Below are 20,587 nucleotides of genomic sequence, written 5' to 3' on the forward strand. Positions count from 1 at the left end.
GAACAGAGGTTTTTGTTGTGGACTTTGGGGAGTTTGGCGGGGCGGGGGTGGGGGTGGGGAGAGGCTGAAGGTCCTCCCACCAAGAGAGCCCCTCTGACGGACTAGAGCCGCTCCAGCATCGCCAGGGACGAAGGAATTAAAAATCAAGACCCCATTCCAGACATGCCACTTCGCGTTGGGTGGCGGGGACCTTGAAGAAACCCCTAGAAGTGACCCCGGGGGTGACCTTTGCCTGTAGCCTCGCTCAGCCAATGAGGAAGCCCACTGTGGGTGCTTGGAAACCGTTTCCATGACACCCAGGAGCCGCCGGTCCCTGGAAGGGCCTGGTCTGAGGGTGAGGGGCTCGGATCGGGGGCGGGGGGCGAGATGCTTGCTCAGTAACCATGGCAACGCCAGCAGCTGCGGGAGGCAGGCCCAGCTGGCACGGAGGCGCCTGCCCCTCTTCCCTCCCCACCGTCCCGGCTCTCCTTCTGGCACAAACAGGAAGGCTGAGACCCAGGGACACCTGTCATCCGCTCCAGGTTGCCCTCCCGGAATGAGAACTGCACCCTATAGAGTGTTAACACTGGGGGCTCCGGTGGAGCCCGGTGGGGGCCGGGTCTTAGGAAGCAAAGCAATGGGGCCGGGCGCGTGGCGGCTCACACCTGTAATCCCAGCGCTTTTGGAGACCAAGGCGGGAGGATCGCTTGAGGCCCGGAGTTCAAGACCAGCCTGGGTAACATAGTGAGATCCCATCTCTACTAAAAATACAAAAAAAAAAAAAAAAAAAAAAAAAAAATTTAGCCAGTCGTGGTATCAGGCGCCTGTAATCCCAGCTTCTTGAGAGGCTGAGGCATAAGAATCACTTGAACCCGGGAGGCGGAGGTTGCGGTGAGCTGAGATTGTGCCACTGCATTCCAGCCTGGGACACAGAGCGAGACTCTGTCTCAAAAGAAAAAAAGAAAGCAATGGGGCCAGGCCTGGTGCGTCACGCCTGTCATCAGAGAGGAGGGCGGGGGGAGGAAGGGAGGAAGGAGAAAATAAAAAAGACAAGACGAGACAAGAAGAGGTCTGGAAGTCTTGACAGGGAAAATCTGGAGGGCTTCCTGATGGAGGTGAGCGTGTCCCAAGCTTCCTCAGCCAGCACCAGGGTGAGGGTGGCCACCACATCAGTGCCCCACCTGTTCCAAGATTTATTTAACATTTTCTTCCCAACTGAATCATGTCCTCGCTAGTGAGTGTATTTAAAAACAGCAGCTCTGCTTCCCTGAAAATGGAGAGCCGGTTGCACCTGCCACAAACAGAAGGTGGGTGGTAAAACTCACATGACAGAAACAAAACGCAGTTATTTCATTCTAGTGAGGTGTCGCTGCCTGCCCGAGGCTGGGAGCCTGCAGCCTGTGATTGCTTTGCCTAAAAAGAGGATTCGCGAGGGCTAGGAAAGGGTTAAACTCCCCTGATTACCCAGCAGAGACCCTGTCCTTTAAATCATCAGAAGGAAGGAAAGAGGACTGGAAAGGGGCTGGCTGTCTCACCCTGCCAGCTAATGCTATTTAGAAACTTGTTGGGGGACGATGTGAAATCACTCTGGGCCCTACTAGTGAGGGGAATCCTGACCTACAGAATAAGGATTTGGTTAGGAGGAGAGGAAAGGGGTTCCAGGAGTACAGTATAAGCAAAGGCTAGGAGGAAGGACTGAAGAGAAGACGTGCTGCTGGGAGAGATTTTCTCTGATGTTTTCCAACAAGGGAGGTGTTAGGGGGAAAGCCGATGAACAATGAGGTCTGAGTGAGCGGGGACCTGAGGCACCATCTGGGGCTGTCTGGGAGGAGGAAGTATTATCTGGGAGGTAGAGGAAGAAGGGGAGGGAAAGAGCAGCAAGAGAAGGAGCCAGTATGGGGGACATTGGTGAGCAGGTGACTGGCATGGGCACCCGGAACTTGATCCTGCTGGGTACTACTGTATGAGGCGTGATTCAGAGGTGTCCCAGCAGAGGGGCGAGGGAGCTGGGGTATTTATCCTCCAACACCAGCCAATCCTTGTCTGAGGGCTGCTCCTAGGGGCCAGTCCCTGGCACACATGGGTCCAGTGCAGTCCTGAGGACAGAGAATGCCAGTGGGTAGAGGGAAGCAGGTGCTGGCAGCTGGGACCCATCTGGGGACATGGGCAGGGTACCTGTGGCATCTGCCTCATCCCCTTTTACAGACGCATCCCCAAGGTCACTCAGCAATGTGAGGATTTGAACCCAGGCCTGTGACATCAAGTTCCCTGCTGTTTCCACATCACCACAGTGGCTGAATCTACTCCCTTGAGAAGTGTCTGAAAACGAAGGATTCCAGGCTCAGATAAGTTTAGGAAGGTACCTCCTTCCTCCCCAACCTTGGAGACTCAGATTTGTATAGTAAAGGCTCTGACAAGTCCTGCAGATAAAGGACACCTGTTGAACAGTTTCCCAGGTGAGCAGAAACATAGGCTCTTTTTTTTTCCTTCTTTTTTGAGACAGGGTCTGGCTCTGTCATCCAGGCTGGAGTACAGTGGTGTGATCATGGCTCGCTGCAGCCTCCACCTTCTGGGCTCAAGTGATCCTCCCATCTCAGCCTCCCAAGTAACTGGGATTACAGGGACGCACCACCATGACCGGCTAATTTTTGTATTTTTTAGTAGAGATGGGGTTTCACTCTGTTGGCCTGGCTGGTCTCAAACTCCTGACCTCAAGTGATCGGCCTGCCTCGGCCTCCCTCCCAAAGTGCTGGGATTACAGGCATGAGCCACCATGCCCAGCCTGGGCCCAGTGTCTTTTCTACCCTCTTCACAGCTAGAATATAGTGCCTGGCATGTGACAGATGTCCTGTGAGCTCAATTTCCTCAATGGATAAATGAATGAATGAGTGAGTGCAGATCCTCATACCCACCTTCTGGATAAGGAAGCTGAGGCACGGAGAGGTTAAGTTGCCTGGATGAAGAGCTGGGCTTTAGCCACCTGACACCCCAGAACGAAGGTTTTTAATCCTGATACTGAGCTCCCCAAGAGAGCCAGAGCGTAGGGAGTGAGAAGGGGAGTAGCAGTGAAGGAGTTAACTGCTCCCCCACTGGATTCATCAGGCCTTGGGTCACTTTGTGCCCGAATTCAAGAATTCACGTAGAGTTTCCCTCTCCCCTGGCTCACCCCGCCTCCAGGGGGAAGCATATTCGTTTCCATGGCAACCATGTTGTCGGCTGTCCGACTAGGTCTGAGTGACAGCTACTGGGGCCAGATGAAGTCACTCGCCACCCACACTGGAGACAGAGGAGCCGGCCCAGAAGTGCCAACACCAGAGACAGGCTTGAGGGGTTTACCTCGTTTGCCAGCAAGGCGGGGAGCTGGTCAGGGCGGGGGAAAATCTCCCTGCTGGCCGACATCCCACCATGATAACTCCGTGCCTTGGTGTCTTAAAGACTCTGCTGGCTCCAGGGCTTCCGAGAGAGCTTAGATCTTAGCTGTGTCTGCCTGAGTACCCTGAAGGAGAGATTGCATCTGATCTATTTTATAACACCCACTCCCAGCACTGAACCTGGTACACAGTAGGTGCCTAATAAATGCTTAGGACGCAAGGGAGGGAGGAATGGAGGGAGGGAGGAAGAGATGATCAGCCAAAGCACTTTAATTCTTACCTAACACTCAAGTTATCTTCCAACATTCCACTTATCAGGCAGGCTTCTCTTATCAGTTAACCTTTTAGTTATCAGCCTACACTTTAGTTGTCAGCTAACACCTAAGTTATCAGCTAACACTTTACTTATCAGCTAACACCTCAGCTAGCATCTTTGTCAGAAAATTTCAGGACAAGCTGAAAAATGGAGAACTGAGCCTCAGAAAGCAGGATTCTTGCTTTCAAATCCCTCCTCTTCTTCCCGCCTCCACCCCACTGACCCCCACGAGGCAGAAGGAACTGATTATGGCCAACACGGAAGGATTGGAGGCAGGGAAGGGCAGGTTCTGGGATCAGAGAGAATTCCAAAGTGAAAAATGCATGCTCAATTCTTAAGGAAGGATTTTTCAACACCTGTGGAACTGTCCAAAGCCTGAATGGATTGCCCTAAGTGGTAGTGAGGTCCCCATCACAGGAGGTAACCAAGACAATCTGTAAAACCATGCCAGGAAAATGATGCAGGAATTGGAGTAGGGGGATCCTGAGACTCCTTTCTTTCTGACTCTATGATTGGGTGGCAGTTCTAAGACTCTACACCTGGGATTCAGCAGCCATTCACAAGCTTCCACGATGCCACAGGTCTACGCCCTCATTCTAAGATCTCTCGATTAGTCCTAGGACTGACCAGTTTTGAAAACATTTATTGCCCACATGCTGTGAGCCAGGCCCTCTTCTAGGAGCTGGGCACCAAAACATAAAATGGGCCAGGCACAGTGGCTCATACCTGTAATTCCAGCACTTTGGGAGGCCAAGGTGGGTGGATCACTTGAGGTCAGGAGTTCGAGACCAGCCTGACCAACATGGTGAAACCCCGTCCCTACTAAAAAATAAAAATTAAAAAATGCAAAAATTAGCCAGGCGTGGTGGCATGCATCTGTTATCCCAGCTACTCGGGAGGCTGAGGCAGGAAAATCGCTTGAACCTGGGAGGCAGAGGCTACAGTGAGCCAAGATGGCACCATTGCACTCCAGCCTGGGTGACAGACCAAGACTCCATCTCAAAATAAAAGAAACAGTTACAATGATGGGTTATTCCATCCAGTGCCATGGGCAGAGAGCAAGCAGAGGAGGAGGGGCTCTGGGAGTGACTACAGGAGAAGGATTCTTTTTGTTTTTTTTTTTTTTTTTGAGATGGAGTCTCGCTCTGTCACCCAGGCTAGAGTGCAGCGGCGCAATCTCAGCTCACTGCCAGCTCTGCCTCCCCAGTTCATGCCATTCTCCTGCCTCAGCCTCCCGAGTAGCTGGGACTACAGGCACCCGCCACCACGCCCGGCTAATTTTTTGTATTTTTAGTAGAGACGGGGTTTCACCGTGTTAGCCAGGATGATCTCGATCCTCTGACCTCATGATCTACCTGCCTCGGCCTCCCAAAGTGCAGGGATTACAGGCATGAGCCACCGCTCCTGGCCAGGAGACTCTATAGGTGATCCAGACACTTGTGCTGAGACCTGAAGATGATGGAGCCATGTAACCAAAGGGTGTTCCTGGCTGAGGGGAAATCGCCAGGGCAAAAACCCCCGAGGCAGGAACATGCTGGGCATGCTTACAAAACAGCAAAGAGGCCAGGCCTGGTGGTTTATGCCTGTAATCCCAGCACTTTGGGAGGCCAAGGCAGGAGGATCACTTGAGGCCAGGAGTTTGAGACCAGCATGGTCAACATAGTGAGACTCTGTCTCAACAACAACAACAAAAAAATTTAGGCCAGGCGTGATGGCTCATGCCTATAATCCCAGCACTTTGAGAGGCTGAGGTGCATGGATCCCCTGAGGTCAGGAGTTCAGGACCAGCCTGGCCAACATGGTGAAACCCAATCTCTACTAAAAATACAAAAAAAAAAAAAAAAAATTGGCAGGGCGTGGTGGCGGGTACCTGTAATGCCAGCTACTTGGGAGGTGGAGGCATGAAAATCGTTTGAACCCGGGAGGCGGAGGTTGCAGTGAGCCAAAATCACACCACTGCACTCCAGCCTGGGGAACAGAGTGAGACTCTATCTCAAATAAATAAATAAATAGATAGATACTTTTTTTTTTTAAATTAGCCAGACCTGGTAGTGCACTCCAAGGCTGATGTGGGAGGATCACTTGAGCCCAGGAAGTCGAGGCTGCAGTGAGCTATGATCACGCCACTGTACTCCAGCCTGGGTGACAGAGCGAGACCCTGTCTCAAAAAACAAGACAAAAACAAAAACAGCAAGGAGACAGTAGAGGGGGATTGGAGGGTGTGACTGAGGAGGGGCCATCTGAGTTGAGAAGGAGCCAGAAGTGCAAAGCGCCAGGAGTTTCCAAGCAGAGAGGACAGCACGTACCAAGGACCAGTGGTGGGAATGAGCTTGGAGACACGGACACACAGAATCAGAGACAGACCGAAACAAAGAGACAGAGACAGGCGCTCAGGGACACCCTAACAGAGACAGACAGACAAAGAGACAAGGGTCTCTCATTGGCCGGCATTATGGGTTACATCGTCTCTCCCCCAAAAAACCTATATGCTGAAGTCCTCACCCCTCAGAACCTCCGAATGTACTGGAGGTGGTACAGATGTAACTGGAGTAGGGTGGGCTCTAATCTAATACGACTGATGACCTTATAAAAGGGGACAATGTGGTTCATGCCTGTAATCCCAGCACTTTGGGAGGCTGAGGCGGGGGGGATCACTTGAGGTCAGGAGTTCGAGACCAGCCTGGCCAACATGGCAAAACCCTGTCTCTACTAAAAATAGAAAAATTAGCTGGGTGTGGTCGTGGGCGCCTGTAATCCAAGCTACTCCAGAGGCTGAGGCAGGAGAATCCCTTGAACCTGGGAGGCGGAGGTTGCAGTGAGCTGAAATCGTGCCATTGCTCTCCAGCCTGGGCAACAGAGTGAGAAGATTCCTTCTCAAAACAAACAAAAAAACGAAGGGGCAGGGGGACAATGTGGGCACAGGTATGCGTGCAGGGAGAATGCTGTGTGAATATGAAGTTGCCATCTACAAACCAAGGAGAAAGGCCTGGGACAGACCCCTCCCTTACATCCCTCAAGAAGCAGCAGCCGGCCAGGCATGGTGGCTCCTGCCTGTGATCCCAGTGCTTTTCAGAGGCTGAGATGGGAGGATGCTTGAGGCCACGAGCTCAAGACCAGCCTGGGCAACAGAATGAGACCTCGTCTCTATTAAAAGTAAAAAAAAAAAAAAAAAAAAAAAATACCCAAGTGTGGTGGCACAGGCTTGTGGTCCCAGCTACTCAGGAAGGTGAGGTGGAGGATCACTTGAGCCCACGAGGTCGAGGCTGCAGTGAGCTGTGATTGCATCATTGCACTCCAGCCTGGGTGACAGAGCAAGACCTTGTCTCAGAAAACTGAAAGAAAGGGAAGGAAGGAAGGAAGGAAGGGAGGGACGAAGGGAAGGAGGGAGGGAGGGAAGGAGGAAGGAAGGAGGAAGAGAGGCAGGGAGGAAGGGAAGGAAGGAGGGCAGGAAGAAGGAAGAGAGGGTTGGGAGGAGGGAAGAAGGAAGAGGGGGGAGGGAGGCAGGGGGGAAGGAGGGAAGGAAGGAAGGAAAGAAGGAAGGAAGGAAAGAAGGGAGGGAGGAAAGGAAGGAGGAAGAGAAGGGAGGGAGGAAAGAAGGAAGGAAGGAAGGAAAAAAGAACCAGCCCTGCTGGCAACTTGGTTTCAGACTTCTAGCCTCCAGGACTGTGACATATTTCTGTTTTTTGTTGGTTTTTTTGTTGTTGTTGTTTGTTTTTTTGAGATGGAGTCTCGCTCTGTGGCCCAGGCTGGAGTGCAGTGGCGTGATCTCGGCTCACTGCAAGCTCCGCCTCCCGGGTTCACACCATTCTCCTGCCTCAGCCTCCCGAGTAGCTGGGACTACAGACGCCCGCCACCACGCCCGGCTAATTTTTTTGTATTTTTAGTAGAGACGGAGTTTCACCGCGTTAGCCAGGATGGTCTTGATCTCCTGACCTCATGATCCACCCGCCTCAGCCTCCCAAAGTTCTGGGATTACAGGCGTGAGCCACCGTGCCCAGCCGACACATTTCTGTTATTTAAGCCACCAGTTCGTGGTCACAGGAAACTCACACATCAGGTAAGCCAGTGAATTAACAAATGACTGCACTGTGGGAGTCAGAACAGTTTTGCAAAGCTCCATGTCAACTCAGGCCAACCTCACCTCTAAATGGGGGAACAGAATGCAGGGAATCCCCCAGTTCAGAGGCCCAAACCTTGCACTTGTTTCTCCAGAAGGAGAAAGAGCTGGAGATTGCTCACTAAGCTGAGAACTTTTCTATGTCCCATTGCACAGCATCCTCCCCACGACCGTGCAAAGTAGGAACTCACTATCCCTTTTACAGTTGAAGAGACTGAGGCTCAGAGTGGGCACTGTATTGGGCAGCTTACGAAGATGTCCTCATTTGATCCCACTTCTGGTACTCCTGCCCTTGTGGAATCTCTTCTCCTTCTTATAAAGGATAAAATACAGTTGGGCGTGGTGGCTTGCACCTGTAATTATGGCTTATTGGGAGGCTGAGGTAGGAGGATCTCATGAGCCCATGAATTTGAGGCTGCAGTGAGCTATGATACCATCATTGCACTCCAGCCTGGGTGACAGAGCAAAATCACATCTCTTTTTTTTTTTTTTTTTTTTTGAGACAGGGTCTCACTTTGTCACCCATGCTAGAGTGCAGTGGCATGATCACGGCTCACTGCAGCCTCAGTTCCCAGGCTCAGGTGATCCTCCTACCTCAGCCTCCTGAGTAGCTAGGACTATATGCATGTGTCACTATGCTCAGCTAATTTGTTTAAAAAATTTTTTTTGTAGAGATGGTGGAGGGAGGGTCTCACCCTATTTCCCAGGCTGGTCTCAAACTCCCGGCCTCAAGTGATCCTCCTGCCTTGGCCTCCCAAGGTGCTGGTATTACAGGCATGAGCCACTGTGCCCAGCCTCTTGCTAGCTTTGATGAAGCAGGCTGATGTGGTCAGGAGGCCCACATGGCGAGAACCTGGGTAGCCTCCGCCATCAAGGAACTAAGTATTGCTGACAACCATGTGAATGTGGAAGCAAATCCTACCCCGTTGAGCCTTCAGATGAGACTCTATTGCTGGCCAACACCTCGTGACAGCCTGAAGTACAGGACCCAGTCAAGCTATACCCAGATTCCTGATCTGCAGAAACTGAGATCATAAGTGAGTGTTGTTTTAAGCCACTAAGTTTTGGGGTAGTTTTTTACACAGCAATAGCTAACCAATACAAACAATCAGTTGCCTGAGGTCACGCAACAAAAATTAACAGAGTCAGGCTGGTTGCCGTGGCTCAGGCCTGTAATCCCAGCACTTTGGGAGGCCAAGGTAGGCAGATCACCTGAAGTCAGGAGTTTGAGACCAGCCTGGCCAACATGGGAAAACCCTGTCTCTACTAAAAATACAAAAATTAGCCAGGCTTGGTGGCACATGCCTGTAGTGCCAGCTACTCAGGAGGCTGAGGCAGGAGAATCACTTGAACCTAGGAGGTGGAGGTTGCAGGGAGCCAAGATCACATCACTGCACTCCAACCTGGATGACAGAGTAAGACTCTGTCTCAAAAAAGAAAGAAAGAAAGAAAGAACGAAAAAGAGAAAGAAAAGAAAGAAAGAGGAAAAGAAAAGGAAGAAGGGAGGGAGGGAGAGAGAGAGAGAGAAGAGCGCAACCAAGAGAGAGCGCAACCATTCTCCCTCACAGGGAAGACTGCTGGCTGCGGCAAAGGATGAGTGAGAAGGCCAAACCCTGGGGTTTCCTTTCCTCTCCTGGCACCAGGGCTGTGTCGCTGTCCGTGGTACTGAACGGTGCTGGTAGGAGCGGCTTAAGGGAGGGTGGAGCATCTCCTGTTCCCTGCTAGCAGCTCCTTGGTAGGGAGCCTGCACTGTCCACATGCAGGGCTGCGAAATTCGGGGCTTTCAGGAACTTGCATGGTTCTTTCACAGAACCACCTCCCTGGCTCCGAGCTTGGTGACTTCTGCTAGCTTGAGCCTCTCCTTCTGGGGAGGCTGGCCTCCCAAATCCCACCTGGCCCCAAACCCTACCTACCCACGTGAGAATTCAGGGGATCCTGGGTTGTTGGGGTAACAGACCCAATCAGTTCTCTGTCTCTCTGTCTCCTTGTCTCTGTCTTTGCAACTGTCTTTGTCTCTGCCTCTCTCTCTATTCTCTTTCTGATTTTTTATTTTTCTCTGTGGCTTTCTTTCTCTGCCCATCTCTGTGTCTTCCTATCTCTGTGTGTATCTGTCTCCCTGTCTCTATCTCTGTCTTGTCTCTCTGTCTTTATTCCTGTCTTTGTCTCTCTGTCTCTGTGTCTCTTTGTTTCTGCCTGTCTCTCTATTCTTTCTTTTTGTCTCTGTGTCTCTGCCCACCTCTGTCTCTCTGTCTCTATCTCTGTCTTTGTCTCTGCCCATCTCTCTATTCTCTTTCTATTTGTCTCTGTCTGTGTCTCTCTCCACCTCTGTACCTCTCTGTCTCTGTCCGCCTGTCTTTCTATGTCTCTTTCCGTCTCTCTGTGTGTGTCTCTGTCTCTTCCTCTCTTTCTGGCTTTGTGTCTCTGCATTTCTTTCCAGTTCTCTCTCTTGCTCTCCACCACTCTAAAAGCCACAAACCCTTCTGGCTGACCTGCAATGGGCCCAACTTTCTCCAGCCACCTGAGGAGAGGGAAAATGAAGCAAAGACCCCAGCCACTCACCCAGCCTGCATTCACCACTTATAAGCGACAGGGTTTTGGGGCATAAACGGCCCTTGAGGCTAACTCCTGCCCCAGTCCGCCTCTGCCTCCCATCATCCCTTGTCACCATCTACACAGTGACATGATTGATAGGAGATCTTTCACTGCCTCTGATTCCCAAGGGCCGCTCCCCGCTCCACACCTAAAAACAAACCTCATTAGCCCCCAAACACCTGGAAGCAGGGAACATGAGGGGTGTGAATAATTTATTTTGTGAGTCATTTTAATATTTTATAATAATTGCGAGGAGTCATTTGGTATTGTGTAGCTGTTTGAGTGTCATTAAGACAGAGCCAAGGCTGGGCGCGGTGGCTCATGCCTGTAATCCCAACACTTTGGGAGGCCGAGGTGGGTGCATCACTTGAGGTTAGGAGATCCAGACCAGCCTGGCTAACATGGTGAAATCTTGTCTCTACTAAAAACACAAAAAATTAGCCGGGTGTGGTGGCATGTGCCTGTAGTCCCAGCTATTCGGGAGACTGAGGCAAGAGAATCGCTTGAACCCGGGAGGCGGAGGTTGCAGTGACCTGAGATCATGCCACTGCACTCCAGCCTGGGTGACAGAGCAAGACTCCATCTCAAAAAAAAAAAAAAAAAAAAAAAGAGGAAGGGATGGGCCCTGCCACCAGGGTATCTTGGAATCTATCGAGGTGAGCCATCTCCAAGGGGGCATGTGGCTGGGGGCCAGGCTGAAGGAAGAAGGCAGCCTCAAAGCATATTGAGGGTGGCCGGATGCCACTTAGTAATCGGTGAGCAGTGAATGGGCCAAGACTGCAGCTCTGTCTTAGTCCTGTTTCATTCACTCATTCATTCATTCATGCACTCATTCAAACTCTCCCCCGGGGTCCTTTATTACACTTGAATCAAGCTCAAACCCTCCACCGTGGCCTAAAAGACCCCCCCAGGCTGGGTGCAGTGACTCATGCCTGTAATCCCAACACTTTGGAAGGCTGAGATGGGAGGATCGCTTGAGCCCAGGAATTCGAGACCAGCCTGAGAAACATAGCAAGACCCCTGTCTCTACAAAAACTACAAAAATTAGCTGGGCGTGGTGGTGCATGCCTGAAGTTTCAGCTACCTGGGAGGCTGAGGTGAAAGGATCACTTGAGCCTGGGAGATCAAGGCTGCAGTGAGCCATGATTTGCACCACTGTACTCCAGCCTGGGCGACACAGCAAGACCTCATCTCTAAAAATAAATAAATAAATAAATAAATAAATAAATAAATAAATAAATAAATAAATAAAATTATAAAAAGAATAAAAGGGCCGAGCGTGTTGGTTGATGCCTGTAATCCCAGAACTCTGGGAGACCAAGGCAGGTGGATCACTTGAGCCCAGGAGTTCAAGACCAGCTAAGCAACATGGTGAACCCCACCTCTATCTAAAATACAAGAAATTAGCCAGGCGTGGTGGCACGTGCCTGTCATTCCAGCTACTCGGGAGGCTGAGGTGGGAGGATCGCTTGAGACTGGGAGATGGAGGCTGCAGTGAGCTATGATCACACTGCTGCACTCCAGCCTGGGTGGCAGAGCAAGACCCCATCTCTAAAAACAAATAAAATTATAAAAAATAAAAGACCCCCTTTCCCTTCAAAATCCAGCCCCTTAAGCCTTCATCTCCTCTCCTGCGCCCCATTCTGCTCCAGCCACACTGGCCTCCTTGCCACTCCTCCAATGCACAAGCAACTTCCCACCCCTGAGCCTTTGCATTTGCAGCCCCCTCCTCCTAGCATGCCCTGCCCTGGACTCCTCCCGTGATGAGCTCCTTCTCATCCTTCAAGCCTCAGCTCACACATCGCCTCCCGGATCTCACAGTGGTAGGATTTAGAGAGGGGGCGTGGGGTAGGAGGGTGTGCTTGGCAGGGAGCTCCGTGTGGGCAAGGACTTGGTGCCAAGACGGTTGAGACTGAATCAGCTGAATATGAAGATGGGCAGGTGGAGAGGTGGGTGGGGCTGGGAAAACCGGGTTGAGGGAAAAGATGCCTGGAAGAAGAAGGAGAAAAAAAAAAAAAAAAAGGCTAGGGGCTGGGTTCCAGAGAGCCTCAAAGATGAGGATGAATAATCTGGGCTCCATCCCGGAAGAAAGGACTTGAGAACTATTCCTTATTTCTTCATGGAGCTGGGTCACGCTCCACCTTCACTGCTCATTCCTCCGCATGGTGGATTCCGCATTGTCTCAAGTCCCTCCATGCTCATGAGCCCAATTCTAGCCAGTCACTTGGGCCATTTCTTCCCTCTAGAGAACCTCATTATGACCCACACTGATGTGGCAGAAAACGTCTGGCATCCATTAAAAAAATCCATGCCTCACTTCCCACAACGTAGAGTTACCCTGGGAAGTGGCTGCCCACCCATGGACTACATTTCCCAGATGCCCTTGCATTAGGTATGATCATGTGACATGTTCTGACCAATGGGATGTGGGTGGAAAGGATAAGTATTATTCCCAAGTCAAATACGTCTTAGTTCCCCACAAATTACCATAAATGTAGTGACTTAAAACAACGCAAAATTATTATCCTAGAGTTCTGGAGATCAGAATTCTAAAATGTGGAAGGTTGTGTTTGCTCTGAAGACTCTAGGGGAGAAGCTGTTCCCTGGTCTTTTCCAGGTTCTAGGGGCTGACCACATTTCTAGGTTCACAGTCTCACATCCCTCTGACCTCTGCTTCTGGCTTTGCTCTTTGATGCTCCTGCTTTCCTCTTATAAGGGCCCCTGTGATGACGTTGGATTCACCTGGAATCTCCAAGAAAATCTCCCCATCTCAAGGTCTATAATTTAATCACACCTGCAAAATCTCTTTTGCCATATAAGGTAATAAATTCACAGTTGTGAGAGTTCTTTATGTATTCTAGGTACCTGTTCCTTATTAGATGTATGATTTACAAATATTTTCTTCCATCCTCTGGGTTGTCTATTCACTGTCTGGATGGTGTCCTTTGAAACACAGCATTTTAAAATTTTGATGAAGTCCTATTTATCTGGTATTTCTTTGGTTGTTTGCGCTCTTAGTGTCATGTCTAAGAAACTATTGCCAGTCCCAAGATCATGAAACCCCTTTGTTTTTTTTTCCAAGAGTTTTATTGTTTTAACTCTTACATTTAAGTCTATGATGTATTTTGAGTTAAGTTTTGTGCTTGGTGTGAGGTAGGGATTCAACTTTACCCTTTTGCATGTGGATATCCAGTTGTCCTGAAATCATTTGTTGAAAAGATTATTTGTTTCTCCATTGGATTGTCTTGGCCCTTGTTGAAAAGCAATTGACCATAAATGTCAGAGTTTATTTCTGGATTTTCAATTTTCTACCGTGGATCTAAAAGTCTATCATTGCGCCAGTACCCCATTGTTCTGCCTCCCAGGTTCACGCCATTCTCCTGCCTCACCCTCCCAAGTAGCTGGGACTACAGGCGCCCACCACCACACCCAGCTAATTTTTTGTATTTTTAGTAAAGACGGGGTTTCACCATGTTAGCCAGGATGGTCTGGATCTCCTGACCTCGTGATCCACCCACCTCAGCCTCCCAAAGTGCTGGGATTATAGGCGTGAGCCACTGTGCCTGGTTGATATAAGGTTTCTAATCAGAAAGTGTAAGTCCTTCAACTTCATTATTTCATTTCAAGATGATTTTGGATACTCTAAGTGCCTTGAATTTCCATATAAATTTTAGAATGATCAATTTCTAAAAAAAAAGCTGAGATTTTAATAGGGATTGTTTTGAATCTACAGATCGGTTAAGGAGTATTAACAATATTACATTTTCTAATCCATGAATATGAGAGGTTTTTATTTAGGTCTTAAATTTCTTTCAACAATATTTTATAGTGCTCAGAGTATAAATTTTGCACTTTTCTGTTAAATTTACTCCTAAGTATTTTGTTCTTTTTGATGCTATCATAAAGATAATGATTTTCCTAATTTCACTTTCAGATTGTTCATTTCTAATATATACAAATGCAATTAACTTTGTTTTCTCCTTTTTTTTAATTTTATTTTTCCAAATTTTTACACTTAAAAAAAAAATTGATTCTTGGCCTGGGAAGTCGAGGCTGCAGTGAGCTATGATCACATGATTGCACTCCAGCCTGGGCAACAGATAGAGACTCTGTCTCCAAAAAATAACATAACATAACATAACATAACATAACATAACATAACATAACATAACATAACATAACATAAAATAGTTCAGCAAAGTTGAAGGATACAAGACCACGACACAAAATTTGTTGCATTTGCTTGCTCAGATGATCTACAAAGGTAATTTTTTTAATTTTTAAGAATCAAGGCCAGGTGTGGTGGCTCACGCCTGTAATCCCAGCACTTTGGGAGGCCGAGGTGGGCAGATCATGAGGTCCAGAGGTCGAGATCATCCTGGTCAACATGGCGAAACCCCATCTCTACTAAAAATACAAAAATTTGCTTCCTGGGTTCAAGTGATTCTCCTGCCTCAGCCTCCCAAGTAGCTGGTACTACAGGTGGGCACCATCATGCCCGGCTAATTTTTGTATTTTGAGTAGAGACGGGGTTTCGTCATGTTAGCCAGGCTGTTCTTGACCTCCTAACCTCAAGTGATCCACCCATCTCGGCCTCCCAAAGCGCTGGGAGGAGTCACCGTGCCCGGCCTCTTTTTTTTTTTTTTTCTCTTTCTGAGACGGAGTCTCGCTCTGTCGCCCAGGCTGGAGTGCAGTGGCGCGATCTCACTGCAAGCTCTGCCTCCTGGGGTTCAGGCCATTTTCCTGCCTCAGCCTCCCGAGTAGCTGGGAATACAGGCGCCTGCCAACACGCCCGGCTAATTTTTTGTATTTTTAGTAGAGAGCGGGTTTCACTGTGTTAGCCAGGACGATCTCGATCCCCTGACCTCGTGATCCACCCACCTCGGCCTCCCAAAGTGCTGGAATTACAGGCGTGAGCCACCGCGCCCGGCCGTGCCTGGCCTTTTTTATGTTTTTATTTGAAATCCGTATATCCTCTTTGGCGAAGTGTTGTTCAAGTCATCTGCCTGTTTTTTGGTGTTTTTTTTTTTTTTTCCTCTTCTGTTTCGAGACAGAGTCTCACTCTGTCACCCCTGGAGTGCAGTGGTGTGAGGACAGCTCACTGTAACCTCAACGTCTTGCGCTCAAGCAATTCTCCCACCTCAGCTTCCCCAGTAGCTGGAACGGCAGACACGCCCCACTACGCCCAGCTAATTTTTTTTTTAAGAGGTCAGGTTTCACTATTTTGCCCTGGTTTGTCTTGAACTCCTGACCTCAAGCGATCCTCCCATCTCGGCCTCCCAAGTAGCTGGGACTTGAGGCGTTCACCACCACACCCAGCTAATTGATTAATTTTTTGTAGAGATGGAGTCTTCCTAGGTTCCCCTAGATGGTCTTGAACTCCTGGCCTCAAGCAATCCTCCCATCTCGGCCTTACAAAATGTTGAGATCACAGCTGTGAGCCACTGCACCAGATCACTTTTTAACTTTTTATTTATAGAAAAATGTACAATATGCAGTTGTAAAAATAATACAGAAAAACATGGCAGTAAATCGGGGTTTTTCTGTTTTTTGTTTGTTTGTTTGTTTGTTTGTTTGTTTTGAGATGGAGTTTCGCTCTTGTTGCCCAGGCTGGAGTATAATGGCACGATCTCGGCTCACTGCAACCTCTGCCTCCCGGATTCAAGCGATTCTCCTGCCTCAGCCTCCTGAGTAGCTGGGATTACAGGTGCTTGCCACCACGCCTGGCTAATTTTGTATTTTTAGTAGAGACGGGTGTTTCTCCATGTTGGTCAGGCTGGTCTCGAACTCCCGACCTCAGGTGATCCGCCTGTCTCGGCCTCCCAAAGTGCTGGAATTATAGGCATGAGCCACCATGCCCAGCTGGCAGTAAATCTTAATGACTTTGAATTAGGCAATTATATGATACCAAAAGCAGTAATAAAAGAAAAAACAGATTGATTGGATGACATCAAAATTAAAAACGTTTGTGTTGCCAACTGATACCATCGAAAAAGTAAAAGTACAATCTATAAATTGGGGAAAATAAACTTGTATGCAAATGTGAAAAGAACTCTCAAAACTCAAAAATAAAAAGATTAATAACCCAATTTTTTTTTTTAACGGATTCTCACTCTGTCGCCTAGGCTGGAAGGCTGGAGGGCAGTGGTGCGATCTTAGCTCACTGCAACCTCCCTCTCCTAGGTTCAAGCGATTCTCCTGCCCCAGCCTCCCGAGTAACTGGGACTACAGGTGCCTGCCACCACACCCAGCTAACTTTTGTATTTCTAGTAGAGACGGGGTTTCACCATTTTGGCCAGGCTGGTGTCAAACTTCCGGCCTCAAGTGATCTGCCCACCTCAGCCTCCCAAAATGCTGGAATTACAGACGTGAGCCACCACGCCAAGCCTAATAACCCAATTTTTGAAATGGGCAAGTGATCTCAGTAAACGTTTCTCCAAAGACAATATACAAATGGCCAATGGTCACATGAAAAGATGCTCAACTTCATTAGTCACTAGGAAAATGCAAATCAAAACCACAATGAGATACCACTTTACACCCACTAGGTTTGCTAAAATTAAAAAGACAGACAATAGGCCTGGTGGGGTGGCTCACGCCTGTAATCCCAGCACTTTGGGAGGCCAAGATGGGCAGATGACTTGAGGTCAGGAGTTCGAGACCAGCCTGGCCAACATGGCGAAACCCTGTCTCCACCAAAAACACAGAAATTAGCCGGGCATGGTGGTGCACACCTGTAATCCCAACTACTCGGGAGGCTGAGGCAGGAGAATCACTTGAACCCAGGAGGCGGAGGTTGCAGTGAGCCGAGATTGTGCCACTTCACTCCAGCCTGGGCAACAGAGTGAGACTCCGTCTCAAAAAAAAAAGTTAAAATAAAAAAATATGTGTATGCAAATCTTTTTTTCTTTTCTTTTTGAGACAGAGTCTTGCTCTGTCACCCAGGCTAGAGTGGAGTGATGTGATATCAGTTCCACCATGACCAGCTAATTTTTTGTATTTTTAGTAGAGGCAGGGTTTCACTGTGTTGGCCAGGTTGGTTTTGAACTCCAGACCTCAAGTGATCCTCCTGCTTCTGCCTCCCAAAGTGCTGTGATTATAGGCGTCAGCCACCACGCCTGACCCCATGCAAAATCTTAAGGATAAATGTTGATAGCAGTATTATTGATAACAATTCAAAAAGTGAAAACAATCTGACTCTCCATCAACTGATGAACAGAAAAGCCAAACGTGGTCCGTCCACACAATGGAATGTGTTTGGCCATGAAAAGGAATGAAGCCCTGGTATAGGTTACAACGTGGGTGAACCTTAAACACATCATGCTCTGTGAAAGAAACCAGACACAGGCCAGGCACGGTGGCTCACGCCTGGAATCCCAGCACTTTGGAAGGCCGAGGTGGGTGGATCAAGAGGTCAGGAGTTCAAGACCAGCCTGGCCAAGATGGTGAAACCCCCATCTCTACTAAAAATACAAAAATTAGCCGGGCGTGGTGGCAGGTGCCTGTAATCCCAGCTACTCGGGAGGCTGAGGCAGGAAAATCGCTTGAACCCGGGGGGTGGAGGCTGCAGTGAGCCGAGATCGTGCCACTGCACTCCAGCCTGGGCAGAGCAAGACTCTGTCTTAAAAAAAAAAAGAAAAGAAAAAGAAAGAAAAGAAAGAAAGAAACCAGACACAAAGGCCACATATTGTATGATCTTGCTCATATGGAATTTCCAGAACGGGCAAATCCAGACACAGAAAGTGGACTTGTGAGTCGTGGTGGCCAGGGGCTGGGGAAGAGATTGGGAGTGATTACTAATTTGGTTTCTTTTTTGTTTGTTTGTTTTGTTTTGTTTGTTTGTTTTGAGACAGAATCTCACTGTGTCGCCCAGGCTAGAGTGCTGTGACATGATCTCTGCTCACTGTAACCTCCGCTTCCTGGGTTCAAGCAATTGTCCTGCCTCAGCCTCCAAAGTAGCTGGGATTAAAGAACCCGCCACCATGCCTGGCTAATTTTGTATTTTTAGTAGACACGGGGTTTTGCCAATGTTGGCCAGGCTGGTCTTGAACTCCTGACCTCAGGTGATCTACCTGCCTCGTCCTCCTAAAGTGCTGTGATTACAGGCGTGAGCCACCGCGTCCAGCCTAATTGGTTTATTTCTTTCCCTTCCTTCCTTCCTTCCTTCCTTCCTTCCTTCCTTCCTTCCTTCCTTCCTTTCTTTCCTTTCTTTTCCTTCTTTCTTTCTTCTTTCTTTTTTACAGAGTCTCGCTCTGTCATCCAGGCTGGAGTGCAGTGACGCGATCTCGGCTCACGGCAACATCCGCCTCCCAGGTTCAAGTGATTCTCCTGCCTCAGCCTCCCGAATAGCTGGGACTTCAGGTGCGTGCCACCACACCCAGCTAATTTTTATATTTTTACTAAAGACAGGGTTTCACCATGTTGGCCAGGATGGTCTCGATCTCTTGACCTCATGATCTGCCCACCTTGGCCTCCCAAACTGCTGGGATTACAGGCGTGAGCCACTGTGCCCGGCCCTAATTGGTTTCTTTTAGGGTGACTAAAATATTCTAGGTCGGGCATGATAGCTCATGCCTGTAATTCCAGCACTTTGGGCGGCCAACGTGGGAAGATCACTTGGGGTCAAGAGTTCGAGACTAGACTAGCCAACATGGTGAAACCCTGTTTCACTAAAAATACAAAAATTAGCCGGGCGTGGTGGCGCGCGCCTGTAGTTACAGCCACTCGGGAGGCTGAATCGAGAGAATCACTTGAACCCGGGAGGCAGAGGTTGCAGTGAGCCAAGATCATGCCACTGCACTCCAGCCTGGGTGACAAGAGTGAGGCTCTGTCTCAATAAAGTATAACATAGAACATTCTAAGATTATATTGTAAAGATGGTTGCACATCATCTCAGCTCTGTGAATTTACTAAAAACCACTGAATTATATACTTCAAATGGGTGACTTGTATGATATGGGAATTATTTCAATAAAGATGTTTTTAAAAAAAGTAAAAAATGAGTACAGAGAGATCTCTTGTGCCTTTAACCAGCTTCCCCCAATGGTGACATCTTACAATATCATAAACGGGAAATGAACATTAACATAATCCATCAACCTTATTCAGACTTTGCTGGTTTATGTGCACTCATTTGTGTGTGTGTGTGTGTGTGTGTGTGTGTGTGTGTGTGTGTCCATGCAACATTTAGATGTGTAGTTTCACAATCAGGACACACAACACATTCCATTATGAGGATGTTCTGTGCTGCACTTTTTTTTACGTCACAACCATCTCTCTCTTCCTCCTACCTGAAAACCCTTACCATTCTTCATCTTATAATTCTGTCATTTCAGGAAGCCTGTATCAGTGGAACCGCATGCTCTGTAACCTTCAGCTTTTGTTGTTGTTGTTATGTATTTCTTTTTAATTACGTGGGTACATCGTGGTGTATATATATTTATGGGGTACATGAGCTATTTTGGTGCAGGCATGCAACGTGTAATAATCACATCATGAAAAACTGGGCATTCATCCCCTGAAGCATTTATCTTTCATGTTAGGAGCAATCCAATTATACCTTTATAGTTATTTTATTTTGTTTTATTTAATTTTATTTTGAGATGGAGTCTCACTCTGTTGTCCAGGCTGGAGTGCAGTGGCACAATCTGGGGTCACTGAAACCTCCTCCTTCCAGCTTCACACAATTCTCCTGCCTCAGCCTCCCAAGTAGCTGGGATTACAGGCACCTGCCACCACGTCCAGCTTATTTTTGTATTTTTAGAAGAGACAGGGTTTCGCCATGTCATCCATGCTGCTCTTGAGCTCCTGGGCTCAAGCGATCCTCCCACCTCTGCGTCCCAAAGTGCTGGGATTACAGGTGGGAGCCACCCCGCCTGGCCTCTTTTTGTCATTTTAAAATGTACAATTAAGTTATTATTGACTGGCTGGGCACGGTGGCTCAAGCGTGTAATCCCAACACTTTGGGAAGCTGAGGTGGGAGGATCACTTGAGCCCAGGAGTTCAAGACCAGCCTGGATGACATGGCAAAACCCCTTCTCTACCAAAATAACTACAAAAATTAGCCAGGTTTGGTGGTGCATGCCTGTAGTCTCAGCTACTCGGGAGGCTGAGGTGGAAGGATCACTTGAGCCTGGGAGACAGAGGTTGCAATGAATGGAGATCACGCCACTGCATTCCAGCCTGGACAACAGAGTGAGATCCTGTCTCAAA

The 20,587-nt window shown here is 48.6% G+C and overlaps 2 annotated features.

The window, feature by feature from the left end:
* Positions 456-1,002: an enhancer, noted in NCBI's record as "H3K4me1 hESC enhancer chr19:5395257-5395803 (GRCh37/hg19 assembly coordinates)". NCBI's record gives its function as "activates a minimal SCP1, AML or CMV promoter by ChIP-STARR-seq in naive H9 embryonic stem cells {active_cell/tissue: H9 hESC(naive)}" and the evidence as "EXISTENCE:reporter gene assay evidence [ECO:0000049][PMID:30033119]".
* Positions 9,288-9,582: a silencer, noted in NCBI's record as "tiled region #11104; HepG2 Repressive DNase matched - State 9:DNaseU, and K562 Repressive DNase unmatched - State 20:ReprD". NCBI's record gives its function as "represses a minimal TATA promoter and a strong SV40 promoter by Sharpr-MPRA in HepG2 and K562 cells {active_cell/tissue: HepG2 | K562}" and the evidence as "EXISTENCE:reporter gene assay evidence [ECO:0000049][PMID:27701403]".

This window comes from Homo sapiens, chromosome 19 (genome assembly GCF_000001405.40).
Source record: "Homo sapiens chromosome 19, GRCh38.p14 Primary Assembly".
NCBI classification, from domain to species: domain Eukaryota; kingdom Metazoa; phylum Chordata; class Mammalia; order Primates; family Hominidae; genus Homo; species Homo sapiens.